Genomic DNA, 25,800 nt, shown 5'->3' with positions numbered 1-25,800 from the left:
TGATCTAGGAGAGATTTAACTAAGAGTCTGGCACCTCTTTTAGGTCCAATAAGAGCTCTGAAGATAAAAAACCTTGGTCTCCACAACCTTTATCGTAACCCAGACAATCCTTTCTATTCATTCCAGGTCTCTACAATAATAACTTAACTCTTTCAATTAATTGCCCATCAGAAAATCGTTGAATCCATCTGTGACCTGGACACCTTCCACCTGCATCCATGGAGTTGTGTCACCTTTCTGGACCAAACCACTGGACACCTTACATGTATCGATTGGCAACATGTACACCTCCACACACTGCTAAATGACAAAGCCGAATTTTGAAATACGATACTGTGAGGTGTTTGGAGAAGAGAACTGAAATGACGTCATGGAGGTGGCAGGGGATCGTCTTGCCCTTTTCTTATTTTCTGCCTGTAACTTCTGTCCCCCTAAAATGCATAAAATCCAGCTAGAACCCAACCACCTTATGCAGCAGTTCTTAGGACCTCATGGGGCTGTGTCATCAATCAAAGTCCTCATATTTGGCTCAGAATAAATCTCATCAACTAATTTACAAATTTGACTCTTTGTGTTGACAAGTCTGTCTTACCGTTCTTTAATAAGGGCCGTGTATAATGTTTTCTTTAGCAAGTGTGGCAAAATTAAACCTTAGAAATAAAGAGAAAAAGAACTCATTATAGAAAACTGTCTTTCTGCTGATGCGGGCATTCACTGTGTCCATTTCTTTTTCCAAAAAGTGTATCTTTCTTAAAAACTGAAAAATATTGAGCCACAAAACACAGTGCCGATGGCTTGCATGCGGGACACTCGGGATATCGTACTAAAGGGCTCTGATGCTGTCTTGGTGATCTCTATGCTGGGTGTTACTTCTGCTGGCTGTGTGACCTTGGAGGGGTTGCTTAACCTCTCTGAGCCACAAGTGTAAAAGGATGAGATTGGTCCCTAAAGTCTCCTCCAACATGAAAGCTAGACGATCCTGAATCTTCTGCTATTTGAGGATCAGACAAACAACATTTGGCAGGGTTCTTCCTGTTGAAAATGATAACCCCGAGATAATAGCCGTAATTATCAGTACCCAAAGAAGCCTTAAATCCCCATTGGACGAAGCCATTGGCATAACAACCAGCCTTTAAAAATGCCCATAACAACCAGCCTTTAAAAAGTGCCCAAGCATGGTGGCTCGTGCCTATAATCCCAGCACTCTGGGAGGCCGAGGCGGGTGGATCTCCTGAGGTCAGGAGTTCGTGACCAGGCTAGTGAAACCTTGTCTCTACTAAAAATACAAAAATTAGCTGGGTGTCGTGGCACATGCCTGTAATTCCAGCAATTTGGGAGGCTGAGGCAGGAGAATTACATGAACCTGGGAGGCAGAGGTTGCAGTGAACTGAGACTGTGCCACTGCACTCCAGCCTAGACTACAGAGCAAGACTCCATCTCAAAAAACGAAACAAAACCAAAAAAAGTGCCTTGACAAGATCATGTTGATTCTAGGGCAACAAAGATAGCTACTGTGGGGCCACCATAGCACACTGTCCTCTACGCCCCCTCCCGTGGGGACATTTGGCAGTGTCTGGAGACGTTTTTGGGTTGTCATGACCTTGGTTGAGAAGCAGGTTGCTGCTGCTGACCTTCAGAGGGGAGAAGCTACCAGGCTTCCGACAATGCCCAGGGCAGCCCCACGGCAATGGCCCAGCCCCAACATCAATGGTGGTGAGCTTGAAAAATGTATATCCTGGAAGAGGACACACCTCCGCTTAAAAACTAAAACTGTAGAGAGAGGGACGCTGGCCTCGAAGTGGACTTTCCGCTGCCCCAAATAGGCCTGCTCTCCAGCTTCATCTCTTGGAATGATATCAAATGGCACTTGGGTGACCTAAAGGACTTTAGTGCAGCTTTAAGAAATGCTTAATTCAGGCCAGGCATGGTGGCTCATGCCTGTAATCCCAGCACTTTGGGATGCCGAGGTGGGTGGGTCACTTGAGGTCAGGAGATCTAGACCAGCCTGACCAACATGGTCAAACCCCGTCTCTACTAAAAATACAAAAATTAACCAGGTGTGGTGGTGGTTGCCTGTAATCCTAGCTACTTGGGAGGCTGAGGCAGGAGAATTGCTTGAACCCGGGAGGCAGAGGTTGCAGTGAGCAGAGATCATGCCATTGCACTCCAGCCTGGGCAACAAGAACAAAACTCTGTCTCAAAAAAAAAAAAAAAAAAAGGAATGCTTAATTCATACCTAGAGAGAGGTATAATCACTTTGATTTATTTTTCATCCTGTTACTATTTTAGGAACAAATTTATAGACTCAAACCTAGCCTCCCCTCTCCCCCAAACATACAGCATAATATGGTATAAATCAAATATACAGATGTATAAAAGAAATTTAAATTTAGTGAAATTTCTTTTTTTTTTTTTGAGATGGATTCTCACTCTGTCACCCAAGCTGGAGTGAAATGGTGCGGTCTCGGCTCACTGCAACCTCTGCCTCCTGAGTTCAAGCAATTCTCCTGCCTCAGCCTCCTGAGTAGCTGGGACTACAGGTACATACCACTACACCCGGCTAATTTTTGTATTTTTTTAGTACAGACGGGGTTTTACTATGTTGGCCAGGCTGGTCTTGAACTCCTGACCTCATGATCCGCCTGCCTCAGCCTCTCAAAGTGCTAGGATTACAGGCGTGAGCCACAGCGCCTGGCTGAAATTTAGTGAAATTTTGTGTATTTAAAATGTCAGGTAGAATGTTACAAAGTAGGCAGATCCAGAAAGCAGCACAGGGAAGTGGTGTATTTGTTAAACACCAAACAATGAAAACTTACCTAAGAGTTTTCTTTACAAATCTTCTTCCCACACAGCAGCATTGAGTTTAGCTTCACAGACAAGGATGTGAAACTTGGGATCAGCTGGTCAGAAACCAAGAACAGTACTTAGGAAATAAAATTCCAATTCACATTTTCCCCCTCTCTTATGAAATAACGAGACCCACACGGTCGTGATGGGATGAGACATGCAATGTCCTCCGTCTCATAGGGAATCCGCATTTCACATCAACTCGTGAGTCTCCTGCCTGGGACAAGCGGAGCTGACTCATTCTGAAGATGACTCTGCAAGCATGGAGTTCATTCCAGAGGAGGTTAGAATCACTCAGCATGAAGAGAGGGTGTAACAGGATGTTGTCTCTGCTGAGGAAGTGGGGCTGCCACCCGATGGATTGGATGGATTGTCGGTCATCCCCGCAGGAGAGGCTGGGCCAGGTTGTGGTGCGTCCAACCCCCAGCCCTCTGGGCAGACCGGTTGTGATCTAAGTCATTTCAAGGTAAAGAGCAGCTGATATGTCAGGACCTGCGACACGGTGTTCAGAGAACATGTAACACAAGCCAGCTGTCTCTGAAGGGGTAGAACGGGGGGAGGCACTTGTATCTTGTGGGCAGAGGCTTCTTGCCAGACCACAAAGGTGGGGAGGGGTCTGTGTGGGGCCACTGAGGGGCTTGGAGACTACAGCTCCATGCCAGTGAGAGAAAACAGGATGGGAAGAGCGAGGGGAGTCGGGTGGGGATCCAATCTCTGACTCCATGGAGGACTTTGTAAGGTTTGGACCCAGAGTAAAGGAAAGTTTAATGCATGACATAGACTAACCTCTCTGTTAGTTAGACTAACCCATCTGTTAGTCTATGTCAGGTTGTGTCTATCAAGACCCGTGTCATTTCACCAACTTCTCCCTTTCCCAGAAGGGTCACTTCTTTTTCACTTGCTGGGAAAGGGAGAAGTTCATGGAATGACGAACGTCTTGATTTCATGGAATGACGAAGGTCTTGATAGACTCAACCTGAAGTGGCCCTTAGAAGCCAGCAGATCTGGCAGCCCCAGCAGATCTCATTGGCTCGGAGGTCTGTAGGGAAGAGGATATCACAAGACCAGCAGCACTGTCACGGAAGGGGTTCTGGAGCTTTGCAGCAAGGCTCCTTCTCCTTCAGTGGCTGATCTCTTTTGAAGAAAGAACTTCCGGCCTGCTTCTGGGCAGGCAGAGATGGCCTGTTTGACCCCAGGGCACCAGGTGAGCAGCTGAACCCAGACATGCGCTGTGAACTATCCACTGAGCCACCAAGCCTTCCCCAGCTCATTGCATCCTCAGAGCAGGCATGGTGTTGGGATGTCTACAGACGGCTTGCCCATAGTCCCTGCTCTCCACTTTCACCCAGCCTTCCACCAAGTTCCCTCTTGGGTGCTTTCCTATGAGTAGTTGTCTGAGGATGAAAAATGTGTGTTCGACAGCAGCTTTAGATGCTGAAGTGTTTTGGAGAAGAAGTATATCACTGCTATACTCTCAGAAAGATCTCAAGTTCTGAAAATATCCGTTATTTCCTGGGAATGCTTATAAGAACGTCCTCACTACAAAAGAGAATCAGGCTGATAGACATGTTGAGACCAAATAAAGATATTCAAAACAAATAAAGATAGTCAAAGACAAATAAAGAGACCCAGTGGAGAGGGAAACTTCATTTTTACATAAGACTGGAAAGTAATTGTTGTGGGTGCCTGGCGATTATCTAAAGCCAATGGTGTAATGCAGGGGTTAAGAAGAATTTACCAAGACAGTTGTTGGTAAAGAAAGGCAGATTTATTAGAAAAAGTATGAAAGTACATTGCAAGGGAGCAACGGGCAGGCCAGCAGGAGAGGAGCTGACTGCCAGGAAACAGACACTTGCAGGGGATTTGATAGGATCATGCTCGTGGTGTGTGCTGGAGAGGGCTATGTGCAGTGCTAGTAACGCCAAGGTTGCAGGGAGCTAACTTGCAATTTTTGTATCAGCGAAGGTCTGGTGATTGCTGGGCACAGGAAGACTGAGTTATTTGTGCAGGGGGCCTGTGTGTCTTGGACAATGAAGAAAGGCAGACTCACAGCTTATCCTTTTGCTTTCCTTTGGTCCCACCAACCTGAATCCCCCTCCTTGATTAGGACTGTACAGTAATGAGTATGCAAGAGAATGAGAAATTTTCTTTTCTTTTTTTTTTTTGAGATGGAGGTTCACTCTTGTCACTCAGGCTGGAGTGCAATGGCGCGATCTCAGCTCAGTGCAACCTCTGCCTCCCGGGTTCAAGCAATTCTCCTGCCTCAGCCTCCCATGTAGCTGGGATTACAGGCACCCACAACCACAGCCGGCTAATTTTTTTGTATTTTTAGTAGAGACGGGGTTTCACCATGTTAGCCAGGATGGTCTCGATCTCCTGACCTCATGATCTGCCTGCCTCGGCCTCCAAAAGTGTGGGATTACAGGTGTGAGCCACTACACCCAGCCTGTTTTTTCTTTTTCTTTCTTTTTTTTTTTTTTTTGAAACAGTTTCACTCTTGTCACCCAGGCTGGAGTGCAATGGCGTGATCTTGGCTCACTGCAACCTCCACCTCCTGGGTTCAAGCCATTCTCCTGCCTCAGCCTCCCGAGTAGCTGGGATTACAGGTGCCTGCCACCATGCCTGGCTAATTTTTGTATTTTTAGTAGAGATGGGTTTTCACCGTATTGGCCAGGCTGGTCTCGAACTCCTGATCTCAGGTGATCTGCCCACCTCAGCCTCCCAAAGTGCTGGGATTACAGGCATGAGCCACCGCGCCCAGCCAGGAATGACAAAATTTCAAAATCACCATCTGTGAACTCCTAATAAAAATAATGAGGTGGGCAAGAATCAGTAACAGATTCCTGAAACCATTAGGCAGAAAGACAGTGAGGAGCTGCACACCTTGCCACGTACCAACCTCCCAACTTATGTAATTATCAGAAAGGGGAGAATGTACCTTGCTGATGAGGAGATGAGGCTGCCACCGTCTAACTCAGAGGAAGATCTTTGCGTCATCATAGTGGGATGTGAGCCACATGCCTTCTGAGGCTGTCCAGTAGGAAGCACACAGGACCACCTGTGAGAGACTCTCGAGTAAATATTTAACTTAAATACATAGAACTCTTGATCAACCTGCCAGTCAGCAGGAAATACAGGGAATAGGAAACAAGTTAAATGACACCACAAGGAAACAGACGAATTCAGACTTCAGGCATTGTCTTCTCAACAATTCAATGCTATGAAAGAATAAAAAAAAGTGACAGGACTATTCCATTGAATGAGACTTAAGACAGAAAACCAAATGTGTAGTCCTGAATTCAATCCAGATGTCAACTAACCAGTTGGAAAATACATTTTTCAAGTAATTGGGAAATTATGGATATAGCCAGCATTAGATGATGTTAGATCCTTAATTTTATGGGATGGTTAGTGGCATTGTGGTTCTACAGGAAAAGGTTCTTATTTTTTAGAGATGTGTAGAGATGCTTTTAGGGATGAAATGTCGTCATGTCCCCAATTTACTTTAAAATACATCAGCAAGAAAGAAAGCTAGATGAAGCAAAGAAGGCAAAACGTTAGCAGCCGTTAAAGATAAGAGCATGTTTCTGTTCCTTATTTATTGTCATCTCAACATGTCTATATGTTTGGAAATTTTCATAATAAAAAGCAAATAATAAGAAGAAAATGATATTTGGAAAGATTCTATTAAGAGTGAAAAAGATAACCAGGTAGGCCGATGACATCTTCTCACCTGCTGCCCACCCTCCTCCTCTGTTTTGTCCACAGGGTTTCTCAATGGACCGATTGCCAGAGGTTGGGGTGTCAAGAATTTGGGGTATCAAGGTTAAGTACAAAACATGGATCTTTGTCTGACAAGACAGGCTGGCCGCTGACTGTTAAATACTTCCCCACAAAAGGGACAAGCCCGGAGCCAGGTTACCGGCCCACACCGCAAGACAGGCTTTCTTTTAGGAAATGGACAAAGCTCTATGACCAGAACAAGCACTTTGGGGAATTTAAATTTGCTTTCCCTGACACGACTCCACTTTCATCACTACCCCTGAACTTAAGGGGCATCCAAACCTCAGTCTCAGCAGGTTTGTTTTGTGTCTGTGTGTGTCTGTATGTGTGTTCGTGTGTGTCTGTATGTGTATCTGTGTGTGTGTGTCTGTGTGTGTCTCTGTGTGTCTGTGTGTGTGTCTGTGTGTGTCTGTGTATGTCTCTGTGTGTCTGTGTGTGTGTCTGTGTGTGTGTGTCTGTGTATGTCTCTGTGTGTCTGTGTCTGTGTCTGTGTGTGTCTCTGTGTGTGTGTGTGTTTTGAAACACGGTCTTGCTCTGTCGCCCAAGCTGGAGGGCAATGGTGCAATCACGGCTCACTGCAGCGTTGACTTCCTAGGCTCAAGCGATCCTCCCATCTCAGCCTCCTGAATAGCTGGCACCACAGGTGGGAGCCACCACTTCTAGCTAATTTTTGTATTTTTTGTAGAAATAGAGTCTTTCTATGTTGCCCAGGATGGTCTTGAACTCCTAGGGTCAGGCAATCCTCCTGCCTCAGCCTCCCATGGTGTTGGGATTACAGGCGTGAGCCACCATGCACAGCCAGCATATTTCTTAACATCAGATTTTTTTTTTTTTTTGAGACGGAGTTTCACTCTTGTTGCCCAGGCTGGAGTGCAGGGGTGTGATCTCGGCTCACTGCAACCTCTACCTCCTGGGTTCAAGCGATTCTCTTACTTCAGCCTCCTGAGTAGCTGGAACTGCAGACACGTACCACCACGCCCAGCTAATTTTGTATTTTTAGTAAAGACGGGGTTTCACCATGTTGGTCAGGCTGGTCTCGAATTCCTGACCACAGGTGATCTGTCTGCCTTGGCCTCCCAAAGTGCTGCGATTGCAGGCCTCAGCCACCACGCCCAACCAGATTATTTATTTATTTATGTATTTATGTATTTATCTGTTTATGTATTTATTTATTTATTTTTCTTTTGAGACGGAGTTTTGCTCTTGTTGCCCAGGCTGGAGTGCAATGGCATGATCTCAGCTCACCGCAACCCCTGCCTCTGGGGTTCAAGCGATTCTCCTGCCTCAGCCTCCCTAGTAGCTGGGATTACAGGCATGCACCACCATGCCTGGCTAATTTTGTATTTTTAGCAGAGATAGGGTTTCTCCATGTTAGTCAGGCTGGTCTTGAACTTCCGACCTCAGGTGGTCCGCCCTCCTCGGCCTCCCAAAGTCCTGGGATTACAGGCGTGAGCCACCGCGCCTGGCCAGCATTTTTATTAACATTAGAATTTTTTACTGAATTATCTTGCTTGATACATCTTTGACTATCATTAAAATGTGTGTGGTCAGCCTGAGGGGACCTGGCTCCGGGCATGATGCTGTGAGTCGAGGTATTCCCTGTGAAGCTTTCTGGCCAATCAAGGCTGAAATTCCATGTGGCAGAAAATCCAGGCCACAGAGGAACCAGTTAAACGAAGCCATAGGGAACCGGACAAATCTAGAATGTGGACAATTGGCCAGGTCTCCATAACAGATCAGTGTGCTGGGAGCGGGTTGGGGAGTGTGTGTGTGTCAGGGAGTTGAGTCTAGATTAAAACAGCCAAAGACATGTGACAACTGCACTCACCATGTGAGCCGTGATTGGGGGCTTTTCCAACAGGCAGTGGTCAGACGCATCCTCAGGGACAACTGGGGACATTTCAATATGGACTGAGCATTCGGTAGTCTTAGTGACTTATTGCTGACTTTCTTTTTTTTTGAAATGACGTTTCCCTCTTATTGCCCAGGCTGGAGTGCAGTGGCGTGATCTCGGCTCACCGCAACCTCTGCCTCCCGGGTTCAAGCGATTGTACTGCCTCAGCCTCCCAAGTAGCTGGGATTACAGGCACGCGCCACCAAGCCTGGCTAATTTTGTATTTTTGTTTCTTTTAGTAGAGATGGGGTGTCTCCATGTTGGTCAGGGTGGTCTCGAACTCCTGACCTCAGGTGATCCGCCCACCTCCGCCTCCCAAAGTGCTGGGATTACAGGTGTGAGCTACCGTGCCCAGCCAAAAGTTTATGTTTTTAAGAGAAATGTGCTGAAGCACTGGGCTCGAGTGACAGTATGGTGGTTTATTCTGAAAGGGCTCAGCTGTGTGTGCAAGAGTGTATGTGAGTGTGTGTGTATGTCAGCATATGTGTGTGAGTATGTATGTGTCTGTGTGAACGTGTACGTGTGTGTATGTGTATGTGTGTGAGGATGGTGTGTATGTGTATGTGCTGAAGTAAATATGACTGAACAATAAGAATCGTCGATCTGGTTGTTTGGTACATGAGTATTCATCTTATTTCTTTTTCACTTTTTCTGTGCATTTGAAAGCTTTCATAGGAAGTCAGAAAATGTATCTGGTTGTTAAAACAATATTGTAACGTACACACACAGTCCATTTCCAGTCCCAGAATTGAGACAGTTAGTGCAGAGGCCACTGGCTCAGCTGTGGAAACCAGACTGCACGGTCCATCTGCACCCATGCTGTCTGTGAGCCCTGGGAATGTCGCTTCCTGTCTCTGGGCCTCAGTTTCCTTCTCTATAAAATGGGCTGATGCTGTTCCTGCCACAGAGGCTGGTGGGATTCAGGCCACATACCCCGGCACATCAGCGTTCCGTTGTTACACATTTGAATACTCCCAAGCCAGTTGGTAAACAGTTGACTCTCCGGGACCCCTTGCACGTTTCCACGACTCAGCAATCAACGTGGAGCTGAACTGGCTGTGAAGCGTTTTGAGCACTGCCCGTGTTTGTCTCACAGCCCTCACGGGAATCCCGGTTAATATACTCAATGAGCGGAGCCCTGAAAACCCCGCCTGCCACCTCGTAAGTGTTCTATAAGCGTTTGCCATTTTAGTAAGTCCTTGTATTTTTATCCAATCTTTGTTTTATGTTACAAAGATAGATGGAAGGTTAACGTTGAAGTAATTAACTTCTTAATGGAAGTGTAGAATTACAAAGTAATTGAAAAGAAGAATAGATGAGATCTGTGAGAGTTTCTTGTCTTTCTGCCTCATGCTAAAATGTAAGCTCTTGTTGTAAACGAAAGCCTGCGTGCAAATGGTTTGCAGGCTGATTAGCGAATCTGGGGCACGGAGCTATCCAGGAGCTCTCACTGTAGATTTAACATCCACGCATTTTATGTAGCTTCTTGATGCTGATGTTGGTAAGAGACGCTAAATTGTCATGGGCATTATGTGGAAAACCCGTAGATGATTTCTGGAGCACAAAAGCCTGACCTGGAATTGGGGCAGAGCTGGGGAAGGTAGGGGGAATGATTCATTTTTGCAGCAAGGGGGATGTGGGGGGCTCAGGCCAGGGCAGGGTGGGGCTGCTGGAAACAAGATAAAGAGAAGGACATAGATATAATGGCAAGGACTCCTTAGCTGTGGGCTAATCGGTGAGCTCAATTATGTCGGGCAAGTTTAAAGAATTTAAACATTAAACCATATGTTCCATACATAAAATAATTTTTGAGGGCCAGGGAACTTCCAGCCAGACACCGACCTCGGGTTGTTCATCACCATAGTGGCTGGTGGGGTACCATTCACGTGGGAGGTCGGAGGAGTGAGCAAGCGGGTTAGGCTGTGTCAGCCTTCCTGACAGGTGCTCAAGGACATCCGCTGTGTGCCTAGGTGCAGCTGTGTCACTGGGATGGACACAGGAAGCAATGTGGGGTCTTTGCTGCCAGTGAGCTCCCGGTCTAGGAGAAGAGAGAGGAAGCATCTTTATCTGTGTTATCCCAGGTACGCGTGCCAATTATATGTCTGTATCCTTATCTGTGTCTACATATACACCTACATCTACATCTACAGTCATATCAATATCTATACCCATACCCATATCTCTATATTTCTACATCTATACCCATATCACAGCTGTGTCTATATCTGTTAAGTCATTCTTGCATTGCTATAAAGAAATACCTGAGACTGGGTCATTTACAAAGAAAAGAGGTGGAATTGGCTAACGGTTCTGCAGGCTGCGCAAACATCGTACCAGCATCTGCTCCGCTTCTGGGGAGGCCTCTGGGAGCTTTTGCTCATGGCGGAAGGTGAAGCAGGAGCAGGTGTGTCACATGGACAGAGCTGAAGTCAGAGAGAGAGAGAGTGGGTTGGGGGAGCTGCCACACACTTAAACACCCAGACCTCCTGAGAACTCACTCACCATTGTGAGGACAGCACAAAGCCACGAGGGATCTTCACCCACGAACTAAACCCCTCCCGCCAGACCCCATCTCCAACACTGGAGATTACAACTCAACATGAGACTTGGGTGGGGACAAATATCTAAACTATATTACTATATCTATATCTATATACATCTATGTCCATAGCTACATCTATGTCCACATCTGTATCTGTAATCTGTGTGTTCAGATAGATACACATGTCTTTTTACAAAGAAAATAAAGCCAGGTTGCAGTGGCTCACACTGGTAATCCCAGCACTTTGGGAGGCTGAGGCAGGTGGATCACCTGAGGTCAGGAGTTCGAGTCCAGCCTGGCCAACATGGTGAAACCCTGTCTCTATTAAAAATACAAAAAAAAAAATAGCTGGGCATGGTGGCGGGTGCCTGTACTCCCAGCTACTCAGGAGGCTGAGGCAGGAGAATCGCTTGAACCCAGCAGGCAGAGGCTGCAGTGAGCTGAGATCATGCCACTCCACTCCAGCCTGGGCGACAGAGTGAGACTCCCTCTCAAAAATAAATAAATGAAAAGAAAATAAGCTCAGAGAAATCAGGTGGTGCCACCATCAATAAGCATCAGAACTGGAATGCAAACGTGGGCTTTGGTGCCTTCAAAGTCAGAACTGTGTTCACCCCTCTCGCTTTAGGGTCTGTATCAGTTTGTTAGGGCTGCCATAACAAAGTGCCACAAACAATAGGACGGTCTTCTCTCCCAAGCCAGAAGTCGGAGATCCCGGTGTCCGCAGGGTTGAGCTCCCCTGAAGGCTCCAGGGGAGGGTCTGTCCCAGCTGGGCCTGGATCTGGCCTCCGGTGGCCCCTCGGCTGGGTGGCCCCTGGGCTGAGTGGCTCCTCGGCTCGGTGGTGGAGCTCCAGTCCTCACGTGGTGTCCTTCCTCTGTGTGTGTCTCTCTGTGTCCCAGTTTCCCCTTTTTATAAGAACACTGACTGTATTCAATTAGGATCCTCCCTCATGACCTTATCTGAATTTGATTTAATTTCATTCCCTCTTTGGAAATAGACAAGACCCTATTTCCAAATAAAGTCACATTTCCAGGTATGGGGGGTGGTTAGGTCTCCAACATACCTTTTTTTTTTGAATGGGGTATAATTCAACTCATAACGGTGTCTTTCACCAAAACCCAGTGATCCTACTTAATCCACATCCCATCTCTTAATGCCTAGTCCCATCGACTTGTCACTAGATGATGCTGAGAACAAAGGTTTTGTATCTGGGATAAAAGCTTTTTCATCATCATAGAAATTTGGCAAACTTCAGAAGCACCATTACTGTGTTTCAATTTTGTCAAGCCTTTTAACAGCTGTACCATATCCTTGGACTACTTCTATTTTGTAGATAAACGCACGGATACTTGTTTATGTGTACACGTGGTGCTCACACCGAATGTTAGAAGTATGCAATGTGCTTTCTTACACGTGTGGTCATTTATGGCAAACAGCTCTGGGAGGAAAGCAAGGCAGGAAGCAGCTTGTGCATCTGCAGAGGGCACGATGGTGTCTGCTGGGCTGGGTGACTCACCAGTCACAAGCTGGGGTGGGTGGGGCCAGAGAGCCACAGTGCAGAGCTGCTGGACCTCAGGCCCTCACAGCTGAATCAGGGTTCACTTTTTAGGGCTTATTGTTGGGCACAGTCCAGAGACAGCCAGAAATCCCCACATATTAAAGCAGAAAGCACCTTCTAGCCGAGCCACGTTGGACGTGGGACCCATCACTTGTCTTATTTCCACATCTTATAACTTGGAGGAACACAGTTATTGCAATCTTTGCACTGTCTGCCTTTCCTCCATATGTGCTCTGTAGTGTTATTTTCTTGACATTTCTCTTCCTTTGGGGTGGAAAAAGAGGAAAAAGGTCACGGTGGGTGGAAACAAAATGAGAAGAGAAAGTGCATGGGCAGAATTTCAGTGAGGATGTTGTCACTTCAGAAACCCACACCTCCAACTTGTGGTCTGACGAGGTGATCAAACTCAGGACACAAGACGGCGCTCCTCGCCCCACCGCAGCTAACGTCAGTCACGTTACAGGGCAGGTAGGATGGAAAGCGCGTGGCCTATGCTGCGGTCCAGCTTAGATTCTAGCAGCGCGGCTTTCATATCCTGCTCAGGCAAGCCTTGGTCACTCACTGGGCCTCTGATTCTGTGACAAATCCATTGGGCAGACACCCCGAGAGAGCAAGAGGTGACTGAGTCATGGCCTGGCTGTGAGGGACAGCCCACAGTCTGGAGATAGCAAGCCGCCAATGCTGCAGTCACCCTTATAAAACATTTGGAATTACGGAAGCTGAGCAGAGCAGGTTTTGCTTGTTTACTTTGTTTCTGGTTTGCAGAGAGCATTAGGTTGGAGGAAGTTTTTTTTTCTTGTTCTTACATCACAAAATGTAAACTATCAGAGACTTAAAGCTTAAGCATTTTTGTGCATCCAGACAAACCACGACAAAACAAAACAGCCAGCCACAGCCTACACGTTTGGGCCAGGGTCGTGGTTCTCTCACGGAATGCTGTTCAGAAGCGAAAAGACACCAACATTGACAATTCAGGAGAAGGAGAATTTCAGACACCGTATTCAGTTCTCTTTGTGGCTGAGTCTCTGCAATACGCTGTCTTCCATGTAAGGACTAGAATCAAAGGCTGAGCTGTCTCCATCGCTCCCTGCCCATTGAGAGCCTATGGTCATATGGGGAAACTACCTTTTCATCATGGAAAAGAAGAACTGGTGAGCTTCCTTTGCTGACTCATTAAGCCATTCATCTAGCATTCACCAAGTGCTACATTCATCCAGCGTTCACCAAGTGCTACCGGAGTGCCAGGCTCAGGGCCACATAGAGCTGTTTAGCTGTTCTTGTGACTTTTTTTCCGCTTTTTCTTTTTTTTTTTTTTTTTGAGACGGAGTTTTGCTCTCATCGCCCAGGCTGGAGTGCAATGGTGTGATCTCGGCTCACTGCAACCTCTGCCTCCCGGGGTGAAGCAATTCTTGTACCTCAGCCTCCCGAGTAGCTGGGATTACAGGTGTGTGCCATCATGCCTGGCTGATTTTTGTATTTTTAGTAGAAACGGGGTTTCCTCATGTTGGCCAGGCTGTCTCAAACTCCTGACCTCAGGTGATCCACCAGCCTCGGCCTCCAAAAGTGCTGGGATTACAGGTGTGAGCCACCACGCCCGGCCAATTTTTTTTTTCTCCTAACATCTCAGGGGAACGTTTTTATCCTCGTGCAGTTTGCCCATCACGAGCCGGGTCCCGTGTTGATGCCAAGGTCATAGCAAGTGTCATGCGGCACGCCATTGGGTACTCGAAGTGTTTAGGTGCCTGCCCTCCCCTCGGATCCGGCCCCATCCAGGGGCCCTGCTCCCATTTCCTGCCCTGCACCTTCCTCCAGGAAGTCCCCCTCCCGGCCACGCCAGCCCGTTTCCAGACCTCACCCTTGACCTTCACCCCTTATTTGTGCACGTGCTGCCATCCTTCGCGGTGTCACGTCTCACCGTCACATTCCCAGCCGGGATAGTTCCTGCATATCACGGAAGACCTGCCTAGGGAGCTGCCTTCCCGAGTTTTCATCTTCTCTCGTCCTCAAGGAGCCTCCCGCCAGGCACGCGGCTCCTTCCGCTGGCTCTCCCCTCTCTCTTCTGTCACTAGAAGGGCCTTGACCCTATCAGCGTCGAGCCTTTGTCGTGATGACGCATTTGTCTTCTCTCTGAGTGGCTCTGTACCGCGTTCTCTTAGCTAATCTGTGTTTCTCAAAGTTCCCTTCCCTGAATGGTTCCAACGTCCTGTTGGAGGAAAGAGAGATTTGCAGAAATTTGGAAGGTGGAAATGAAGGAGCAGCTATTTTCTACAGGACGATCATCTGTGTTTATTCACACCGTGAGGCTCAAAGAGGTTGCTTCCCCCCTACCAGCGGAAAAGGGATGCTGCACGAAGGAATTTTAGGCAGTGACACTGTAATGGTGGGTACGTGTCATTCTACATGTGCCCAAACCAGAGAACGGCCAACGCCGTGACTGGTCCGTGTGTTACAGTTGATGAACCTGCATTGGAGTATCGGAGTCGCCAGTGCGGGCACAGACATCTGCGGAAACATCAAGCCCCGCTCATCCCCTCCTAGTGGGAAGCCCCCCCTACATTCATCAACGCCACAGGTTTCTTTATGGGAGAGTTTTAAAGGTTGTAGTTTTAGGCTGCCTATTTGTTCAGAGCAGAGAAAGAGAATAAGCTCTGAAAATGGCAAAGGCATAGCAGGAGGAGATTGGAACCATGGTGGAGATCAGCCCCCAGGCCAGGACTGCACAAGCCGTCCCTCAGTGGGAGGGACCTTCCTGCTCGTGGTGGTCACTTGCCTCATAGTGAGCACTCATTCCCCCGCCGGGGGCGGCTGGCACCCATCATTGCAGATCTGTGGGTGCTCCTATCCCTCCAGAGGACACTAAAGAGCAGGGGAGATGCACTTTCCTTCCAGTCCAAACCAGCCACCTGCCCGAAGGAAGAAGGAGAACCAGGGCTGCATCCAAGGAAAACACTTTCATTTCTCAAAGGAAAACATTAGGAACCTGAGGGAAGCTATTGCCAGGTGTGTAACTGACCCAGGATCTTCATCTAGAGCAGGGCTGGCAAAACAAGGCCCTCAGGCCAAATCAGGTCCACCATCCATTTATTTTGTATTCTCTGTAAGCTAACCATGAATTTTATTTTTTTTTAATGGTTCAAAAATGTAGAAGGAGAATGATGTTTTGTGACATGTAAAAATGATATGCTGTTCACGTTTTCAAGTCCATCAAAATAAGATAAACTGAACAGCACCAGGCTCATGGGTTTAGTATTGTCTGCAGCTGTTTTACGTGACAGCAGGAGAAAAGGTCCCACAGAGACCACATGGCTCACAAAGCCTAAAAGGTTAACTTTCTGGCTCATTACTGGAAAAGTTTGCTGATCCCTGACTATTTTTATTTTATTTTATTTTATTTTATTTTATTTTATTATTTTTGAGACAGGATCTCACTCTGTCACCCAGGCTGGAGTGCACTGGTGCAACCTCGGCTCACTGCAGCCCTGACGTCCCAGGCTCAAGCGATCCTCCTATCTCAGCCTCCCAAGTACCTGGGACTGGGACAGCAGGAGTGCAACACCCACACCAACACCAGACCACAGCCTTGACCCCTGAGTTTAGAGCATGCAAGAAATTCCTACAAATCAATTAGAAAAAACAAGCGATTTAAATAGAGAAATGGGCAAAAGACCTGAACAAGCACTGTACCAAAGAAAAGATCAAAATGGCTACTCAACGGATGCTCCCCTGTGTTATTCATCAGTGGCTGCTGCTTACAACCACAGTGAGATATCACTACATAGCCGCCAGGACAGCAAAGTCAGGAAAGAGGAGCAGGAATCAGTGTGGATACAGAGAAACTGAACTCAGACACTGTTGGTGGGAACTGAACTCACACACTGCTGAGGAGAACTGAACTCACTCACACACCATGGGGGGACTGAACTCACTCACACAGCACTGAGGGGACTGAACTCACACACCACGGCGGGGCCTGAACTCACTCACACACTACTGTGTGGAAACTGAACTCACTTGCGCACCCCTGGGGGGAAGTAACATTTTTGCATTGACCCTGGACCAATAACCACTGAAACTGAACTGAAGCTTCCATGGCGACACTGTGATTCCCCACGACCAGCAGAAATGCAAACATATTGCACACAAGGTCATGCACAAGAATGTTGACAGGATCACTGTTTGTGTGTTTATCTGAACCTTCACCTGCTCATGACAGATAAAGGTTATCATGTGAACGTGGGGAAGACATCGCCAAACACCCAGGGGAGGTTTCCCTGGGAGCAGACACCTCCTCCCCTCGCCGTCCTCTTTTACCTCCCGTTGCCGTCCTCTTTGAAATGCCCTGCAGCACGGTCAAGGGACTCTGCTGCTCTGCCAGTCCACTGTGTAGGTCTTCCTGCTTCTCCACTTTATTTCCACCAAATTATAAACTCTTGGAAACAAAGATTCTGCCATCACGCATTTCTTTATCACTCACAGCATCTGGATGTCCTCCACAACAGCAAGTGGCACCTGTCATATTTTGTTTTGTGTTTTTTGTTGTTGTTGTTTTGTTTTTTTTTGAGACGGAGTCTCGCTTTCTTGCCCAGGCTGGAGTGCAGTGGTGTGATCTCTGCTCATTGCAAGCTCCGCCTCTCGGGTTCAAGCGATTCTCCTGCCTCAGCCTCCCTAGTAGCTGGGACTACAGCTGCGTGCCACCACGCCTGGCTAATTTTTTGAATTTTTAGTAGAGACGGGGTTTCACAGTGTTAGACAGGATGGTCTTGATCTCCTGACCTCGTGATCCACCCGCCTCGGCCTCCCGAAAGTGCTGGGATTACAGGCATGAGCCAACGCGCCTGGCCACCTGTCACGTTTTACAGCTAAGGAAGCTGAGGTCACATGTCCAAGGAGTCAAGCATGGGACGTCTCTGTCCTTACCCAACGTGGGTCTCACCACCACTCCTTATTGACTCCACTCTGATCAGACTGTGCCTCTGATAACTCCCAGGACAGGCTCAGCCTTTTCAAGCTTCTGGGCCTTCACATTTGCTTTTGCCTCTCTACCTGGGTCTTTATTTCTTCTATTGTCCAAGGACCAAGTCCTCCTCATCCTTCAGGTCTCAACTCTGGCTGGGCTCCGAGGAGGAGCTACCACCTGGGACGCCACTACCTGTCGGGCCTGCCTCCCTCTCTTACTCGCTCATGTCCTTGCATTTCACTCATTGAATGATCTTAAACATTCATGATAGAATGATCTATCATGTCATAAAAATGACATGATAATTATTTTTATCTCTTTGTGGACTGTTTATTTTCTGTCCTGCCCTTCCCACCTCACAAGAATGGGAAGCCCCATGGTGGGCTGGGACATCATCTGTCTTATTCACACGTGATGTTAAAAGAGATTGTTTTCTTCCTAACGGTGATGAAGTTACACTGCACAGAGGATCTTCAGGGCAGTGAAGCTACTCTGCATGGCACTGTCATGGTGGATAAGAGTCAGTGTACATCTGTGCAGACCCAGAGGATGAACAACACCTAGAGCGAGCCCTCGTGTAAACCACGGACTCCAGGCAATGAAGACGTGTCCATGTGGGTTCACCAATGGTAACAAATGCACCACACTTGCTGGTGGGGGGTGGCTATGCGTGCAGGGGAGAGGGGACAGGCAGCGAATGGCAGGTGTCTGTACCTTCTGTGCATTTTACTGTGAGCCAAAAACTGCTCTAAAAAAATTGTCTACTTTTAAGTTCTGATGGGTTCTCTGGCTTCAGGGAGTTGCCATTTTGGATCCTGAAGAATAAAGAGATAGGCTCATTTGCATGAGGTAGGCAGAGTCAAGTTGGAGGTTGAACTACGTGCTGGGACTGAGGCCATCAGACTCTGGAGGGAGGAGGGGAGCATAGCTGCTGTCTTGCTGACAGCTTCATGGGGAAGCTGGGGTCTGAGTTAGGATGAGTGTCTTAGTCCATTTGTTTTGCTATCAAGGACTACCTGAAGCTGAGTAATTTATAAAGAAAAGAGGTGTGTTTGGCTCACCTCTCTGCAGCCTTCACAGGGAGCATGGTGCCAGCATCTGCGACTGGTGAGGCCTCCGAAATATTAGAAATTGGCCGGGCGCAGTGGCTCATGCCTGTAATCCTAGCACTTTGGGAGGTTGAGGGGGGCGGATCACCTGAGGTCAGGAGATCGAGACCAGCCTTCCCAACATTGGTGAAACCCCGCCTCTATTAAAAATACAAAAATTAGCTGGGCGTAATGGCAGGCACATGTAATCCCAGCTACTCGGGAGGCTGAGGCAGGAGAATCGCTTGAACCCAGAAGGCAGAGGTTGCAGTGATCCAAGATCACACCACTGCACTCCAGCTTGGGTGACAGAACTAGACTCCGTCTCAAAAAAAAAAAAAAAATGTGAGAAATCATTCTGCTCGTGGCGTCATGGCGGAATGGGAAGCGGAGCAGGCATCACATGCCAAGAGGAAAAAAGCCATAAAGAGGGACAGAGAGAGAGGAAAGGAGCTGCCAGGCTCTTTTTAACAATCAGATCTCGCGAGAGCTAATGAAATGAGACAAATAGAGTGAGGATGGCACCAAGACATTTATGTAGGGGCCACACCAGTGACCAGACACCTCCCACCACAACAATGACCAGACACCTCCCACCACACCAGTGACCACACACCTCCCACCACACCAGTGACCACACACCTCCCACCACACCGGTGACCAGACACCTCCCACCACACCGGTGACCAGACACCTCCTACCACAATGACCAGACACCTCCCACCACACCAGTGACCCAGACACCTCCCATCACACCAGTGACCCAGACGCCTCCCACCACACCAGTGACCAGACACCTCCCACTAGGCCGGCACCAACACTGGCGATCCAATGTCAGCCTGAGGTTTTGGGGGTGTCAAACATCCAAACGATATCACTGGGGTATGTCTGGGGAGGCAGGATGATGGCAGAAGGCCTCGAGACAGGAAGACCTTGCCTTGGGTCCGAAGCCTGTGCACAACCATCAGGAAACTCATCTGTTTCTGCTGGAGTTTAACTTGACTTTGATTGGTTATTAAAAACCATCCTGTAATCCCAGCAGTTTGGGAGGCTGAGGTGGGCAGATCACAAGGTCAGGAGTTCGAGACCAGCCTGGCCAACATGGTGAAACCCGGTCTCTACTAAAAATAGAAAAAATAGCTGGGTGTGGTGGCGGGTGCCTGTAATCCCAGCTACTCGGGAGGCTGAGGCAGGAGAATTGCTTGAACTCAGGAGGTGGATGTTGCAGTGAGCTGAGATTGCACCACTGCACTCCAGCCTGGGTGACAGAGCAAGACTCCGTCTCAGAAAAAAAAAAAAAATCATTGGGCCGGGCATGGTGGCTCACTCCTGTAATCCCATCACTCTGGGAGGCCGAGGCAGGTGGATCACCTAAGGTCAGGAGTTCAAGACTGGCATGGCCAACACAGTGAAAACCTATCTCTACTAAAAATACAAAAATTAGCTGGGCATGGTGGTGGGCGCCTATAGTCCCAGCTCCTCAAGAGGCCGAGGTGGGAGAATCACTTGAACCCCAGAGGCAGAGGTTGCAGTGAGCCAACATCGCGCCACTGCACTCCAGCCCGGGTGACAGATTGAGACTCTGTCTCAAAAATAAATAAATAAATAAAATAAATAAATAAATAAAAATAATCATTGGTTCTCACCTCCTTTATGATTCTTTTGCCCCATTCTCTCTTCTCTTCTGGGGCTGTGTGTGCACAGAGGACCTGCTCCCCCGTCCTGAGCGCCCTGGTCTCTTGTGCCCCCTGCCCATTTCCCTCCTCCGTTCTCCACCTGTCCTGGCTGTGCAAATGCTTCGGAGGACTCGCCCACTTTTCCCGTCCCCTCCTTTGCTGCCTACAGTCCACGTTAGAGTTCTTATTTTCCGTATCACATTTCACATTTCTAAAACTTCTACTTGATTCTTTTATTATTATAATTTTCACTTTTCTGGTGAAATTCTCCATCGGCTCACTTCAGTACTTGGATGGAGTAACCCCATGTTTTTTAGAGGACGCATCTCATAACTCCAGCCCCTGAAATTCCCGCGATCTCTTCCTATTGCCTGTTTTTCTTGGCTGTCGGTAATTTCTTTCTTGTCTTATCTCTGTCAGGTAAGTTTTGGTTGAATGTTGCTGTTGCCTATTAAAGGTTGTAGAAATGATTTGAGGATCTGGATGTATTATCTTCAGGAAGCAATTTCTGTTACTCATGGCAGGCATGTGGGTGGGGACAAAAAATCTCACTCCAGTCAGGGTTTGTGCTGTTTGGGGGCTGAGTTTCAGGGGTTTTTCCTCCCCTAAACTTACTACTATATCAGATAGTGAATATGTTTCGTGTTTAGAATTCTAAATTAGAGGTTATTTCCTATTGCCCAGCTCAACCTGGGTAGAGAAATGTGAGCCCAAAGCTAAACATTCCAGCTTTCTCATCCCAGCATTCACAACCACAACAATGTTTGGCTGTCGGAGTCCCAGGTGAGAGGGGTGAGCCAGGCAGGCTTGGTTTTCAAGTAAAGGGGATTTTCATGGGGATAGGGCACTGGGGGCAGAGGAGGGAGTCTGTGGGGGTAGCAGGAGCTCTGGGAGACAGCAAGGCTCCCACAGGGGAGGAGGGGTCATTGTATTTGAGCCCAGCACAATTCCTTACAAGTGATTTTTTTTTTTCAAGAACAAGCCAATTGATATAGTTGGATGTGTGTCCCCTCCAAATCTCCTGTGGAAATGTGACGCCCGGTGTTGGAGGTGGGCCTGGTGGGAGGTGACTGTGTTGTGGGGGCGGATCCTTCCTGAATGGCTTGGTGCCTTCCTGCTGTCTCCAGTGAGTTCACTGGAAATCTGGCTGTTTAAAGAGCCTGGCGCCTCTTGGCCGGGCGCGGTGGCTCACGCCTGTAATCCCAGCACTTTGGGGGCCGAGGCGGGTGGATCACAAGGTCAGGAGATCAGGACCATCCTGGCTAACACGGTGAAACCCCGTCTCTACTAAAAAATACAGAAAATTAGCCGGGCGCGGTGGCGGGCGCCTGTAGTCCCAGCTACTCAGGAGGCTGAGGCAGGAGAATGGCGTGAACCCGGGAGGCGGAGCTTGCAGTGAGCTGAGATCGCGCCACTGCACTCCAGCCTGGGCGACACAGCCAGACTCTGTCTCAAAAAAAAAAGAGCCTGGCACCTCCTTCTCTCTCTTGCTCCCTCTCTTGCCACCTGACACACCTGCTCCCCCTTCACCTTCCGCCAGGAGAAAAATCTTCCTGAGGCCTCCCCAGAAGCAGATGCTGGAACAACCCGCAGAACCATGAGCCACATATACCTGTTTCTTCATATACTATCCAGCCTCAGGTGTTCCTTATAGCAACGCAAGACAGACGAATACACCAGCCACATTAAGGTGGGGAATGGTTCTTGCTAATCTATCTTGAGACCAAGCATGTGTTAGGGTTAAATAGGAAATAGGTGTTAAAGTTTTCTGATGTTGTGCACGACACCTAATGAAATTGGCTTTCTTCCTCCCCATCTCCCTCCCTTTCTCCCGTCCTTGTCTCTCTGTCTTTGTCTTTGTCTCTCTGTTGGTCTCTCTCTTTCCTTCCTCTCTTGGTTCCCTGGTGTGCAGAATGACTAAGAAGGGGAAACACACAAGTGCACTCAATACTTTTTTTTTTGAGACACGGTCTGGCTCTGTCGCCCAGGCTGCAGTGCGCTGGTGTGACCTTGGCTCACTGCAACCTCTACCTCCTGGGCTCAAGCCATCCTCCCACCTCAGCCTCCAGAGTAGCTGGGACTACAGACACATGCCACCACGTCTGGATAATTTTTGTCTTTTTTTTTGTAGAGATGGGTTTTCACCATTGTCTCGTCTGGTCTTGAACGCCTGAGCTCAAGCCATTCGCCTGCCTCGGCCTCTCAAAGTGCTGGGATTACAGGCATAAGCCACCATGCCTGGCCTCAAAAGAATTAAAACGGTTAATGAGTTAAAACAAGATTAAGTCTGTACATTATATAATGTAGAAGCTTCTGTGGAAAACTCCCCAGCCCTATGTGGACGACATCACATCTGATTTATCCTTGTGGTCTACACCGCTGGGTGCTCAGCCTTCTCCTGAGAGATGCTGTGAAACTTCTCTACCACCTGGAACAGGAGAAGGGAGGCCCATGTGGGGGCAGAGACCTCTGTCCAGAGTCCAGTGGCAGCTGGTAAGGATTTTTCATGCAAGGAATAGCTTAGAAGAGACAACAGTTATTGGCTGATTTTGATGAAGGATTAAAATTAAAATATCTCAGCCACTTCCTACTCAATGTATCCTATACATTTTCTTGTTAATCTAACATGCAGTTTACTTTCTGGGTGATAGCTCATTAGTTCAGAGGAGAATTGCTAGTTATGGGAGATACTACTTCCTGTTGAGTAGGGCAACTAGCTCTGCGATAGCTTTTATTGGACTGCTCATATTTTGAAATACAATGTTGTTTTACTAATCGTTGTTTATTCAACATCCTTGAACACTGGCTTTATGTGAGATAAACTTAAGAATCAGGGTTTAATCATAGTTTTCTTAGTTGTCAATTCCAATTCAAGCTGAGTCCAGGAAGAGGCTCCGCTGCTTCCAAATGCTAGCACACTGCCCTCTTGTGGGAGACCCTGAACACTGCAGAGCTTTACACTTCGAATCTCATCTAGTGAATCTAATTTCATTTCCCCGAAGCCAAACATATCCTTAGGCAGCAAATATAAAATATGTTTTACTTTACAAAGTCTGTTAGCCCTTCATAGCTCCTTCGTAATGCATAAATCTGTAAAACGTTTGCTTGGTGTCAATTACTTAATTCAAATAAGGAATTCCTGTACAATCTCTTCATGGTTATTATGGTGAAAGCTGGTTGGTGCTCTAGAACTGAATATGTGCAGAGAATTGTTAAACTCAAAAGCCAGTTTCCCATCTCACCTCTGGAAGCCTCAATTCGTCATGTTTCAAATGGAGATGGCCTGAGGGCATTTCATAGGGAAATGGCTGGATCGGTTTAGGAGCCCAAACGCTGCTAGAATTTTGTTTTTTCTGGAATGCCTTATGAAATCGCCTTCTTCTTTGATACAGTTAAAATAGGCTGTTATTAGAGCTAAACGTTTAAAATATTTCTACTTTTCCCTTTAAAAATTTTTTTTTAAATTTATTATTTTTTGAGATGGAGTCTTGCTCTGTCGCCCAGGCTGGAGTGCAGTGGTGCAGTCTTGGCTCACTGCAACCTCCGCCTCCCAGGTTCAAGCGATTCTCATGCCTCAGCCTCCTGAGAAGCTGGGATTACAGGCACCTGTCACCATACCTGGCTAATTTTTGTATTTCTAGTAGAGACAGGGTTTCACCATGTTGACCAGGCTGGTCTTGAACTCCTGACCTCAAGTGATCCACCCACCTTGGCCTCGCAAAGTGCTGGGATTACAGGCATGAGCCACTGCGCCCGGTCCCCTTTTCTTTTTTTAAAAAACAAATTACAGGTCACACGTCCTTAGTGAGCACACACAATCACTTTGCAAGGCTAGGCCTGGAGAATTCAGGGAGCTAGAGAAGGTCCAAGGTTCATTGGGAATTAGACTGTGGGTGTTAATTTAAGAAAGGACCTGCAAATCACAGGTGCTGTCCATAGTCCTGGAGTGAGGCAGGCACTCCTGTCTGGACTGGCCAGCCGGTGCACCAAGGCCTGACCTTCCTGCTCCCGGGCTCAGATCACAGCGGCAGCCCCACGACGACGCGGCAGCAGGTGCCAGCTGTAGGTGGAGGCAGGGAGGGTGGTTTGGAGCTGTGGGGTGGACTGGGGTTCGAAACAGAAAACGGCAGTGTCAAGATGGGGGTAAGAAAATGCCACCTGGACTTCTCAGTACAGGCATCTTATTATCTTTGTGGCTTCAGAACAGAATGTTACTGGATAGAGTTGTCCAGTTTCTTGGCGTGTTGAACGAAGAACTGAACAAAATGCACAAAGTAACAAAAGAACAAAACAACAGAAGAACAGAGGGAGTAACCAAGGCACAGATCTATTGAAGAAGCAAAAGCACAATTCACAAAGTGGGATGGGCTTGAGCAAGCGACTCAAGAGCCTCTCTAATTAGGTTTTTTGTTGTTGTTGTTTTGTTTTTTTGAGACAGGGTCTCACTCTGTTGCCCAGGCTGGAGTGCAGTGGTGCGATCTCAGCTCACTGCAACCTCTGCCTCCGGGGTTCAAGTGATTCTTGTGCCTCAGCCTCTTGAGTAGCTGGGATTACAGGCACCTGTCACCACGCCTGGCTTATTTCTGTATTTTTAGCAGAGATGGGGTTTCACCATGTTGGCCAGGCTGGTCTCGAACTCTTGGACTCAAGCGACCCACCCACCTTGTGCTGGGATTACAGGTGTGAGCCACCGCGCCTGGCCCAATTAGGATTTTTATAAAGCCAAAAGAACTTGGCAATACCCCTAGGTGCCCTTTAGCGGCCTCCAGTTGGTTATTCCCTATGAAGGATGGACCTGTGACCAATCAGATGCTGAAGTGGAGAAGGCCGTGGTCAATCAGAGGCTGAAGTGGAGGTTTCTGTCTTCTTATCACAGGAGAGAGGCTGTGGCCTGTGTACCGCCGGATCCTGCCTGGAACTGACTGCACCTGCTGTTATTTGCTAAAGCCCCAGCCCGGGGCTGCCCTAATTCCCTATTCTCCTCACGAAGCCCATAGCTGTTGGGAAAGACAGTCCCAGGGTCCTTCCCACGTGTAAGTGTCTTCCTCAGGCGTGTCCAGAGCACTGTGGCTGGATTGCTCTTTCCCGGACCATCTCTCAGGGCTGTGCGTGCAGGGAGCCATCCTCGAGGGAGGAGGAAATGTGTCCCCCGCGGACAAGGAGCAGGCATCGACTGTCTGCTATAGAACAGGGTCCCAGCGTCCGTGTGCCTCGGCCGGGACACAGAGCCAGCGTGCACCCGGCACCGAGCTGAGCTGTTCCACGCGGCCCTGTGGGATGTGGGGCCAAGGGAACCACAGACTCCTGCCCGTGCTGTCTTCTGCGCAGTGAGGAATAAAACCCTGGTCTCTGATCGACGCGTCTCCCGACTTCTAGCAGCGTCAATGAAATAGCAAAAGGCAACTTATTAGCTTGTAAGTAAAGTGAAAGAAAATCCGTGACCTTGTAGTTCAA

General features: G+C 48.0%; 1 protein-coding gene and 1 long non-coding RNA gene across 4 annotated transcripts in view, besides 1 other annotated feature; one reads left to right on the top strand and one right to left on the bottom strand.

The window, feature by feature from the left end:
* CLN8 (CLN8 transmembrane ER and ERGIC protein) overlaps positions 1-5,840 on the bottom strand; it is a 33,512-nt gene extending 27,672 nt beyond the window's left edge. Inside the window, exons 1-2 of one of the 2 annotated variants that reach the window (XM_047421512.1) lie at positions 5,786-5,840; positions 2,817-2,900 (exon numbers count right to left, since the gene is read on the bottom strand). The gene's annotated coding sequence lies outside the window, so the exon portion shown is untranslated. Of the gene's footprint in view, positions 1-2,816; positions 3,144-5,785 lie in introns of those variants that run through there. The other variant, XM_005266022.2, reaches the window with a different exon arrangement.
* Positions 2,324-3,523: an enhancer, noted in NCBI's record as "P300/CBP strongly-dependent group 1 enhancer chr8:1703542-1704741 (GRCh37/hg19 assembly coordinates)". NCBI's record gives its function as "activates an origin of replication core promoter dependent on BRD2, BRD4, P300/CBP, MED14 and CDK7 cofactors, with strong dependence on P300/CBP, by STARR-seq in HCT116 cells {active_cell/tissue: HCT116}" and the evidence as "EXISTENCE:reporter gene assay evidence [ECO:0000049][PMID:35650434]".
* Positions 3,087-16,080, top strand: LOC105377778 (uncharacterized). Of its 2 annotated transcripts, XR_007060784.1 has the most exons (4): positions 3,087-3,313; positions 6,616-6,926; positions 10,495-10,605; positions 16,047-16,080. It is a non-coding gene; the product is annotated as an uncharacterized LOC105377778 (long non-coding RNA). The 2 variants fall into 2 exon arrangements; XR_001745757.1 differs by lacking the exons at positions 3,087-3,313; positions 6,616-6,926 and adding an exon at positions 9,102-9,685.
* Positions 16,081-25,800: the final 9,720 nt, after the last annotated feature.

Source organism: Homo sapiens, chromosome 8, assembly GCF_000001405.40.
Source record: "Homo sapiens chromosome 8, GRCh38.p14 Primary Assembly".
In the NCBI taxonomy this organism is placed as follows: Eukaryota; Metazoa; Chordata; class Mammalia; order Primates; family Hominidae; genus Homo; species Homo sapiens.
The sequence above is the reverse complement of the archived record's forward strand: the minus strand, read 5'-3'. Positions and strand labels throughout refer to the sequence as shown.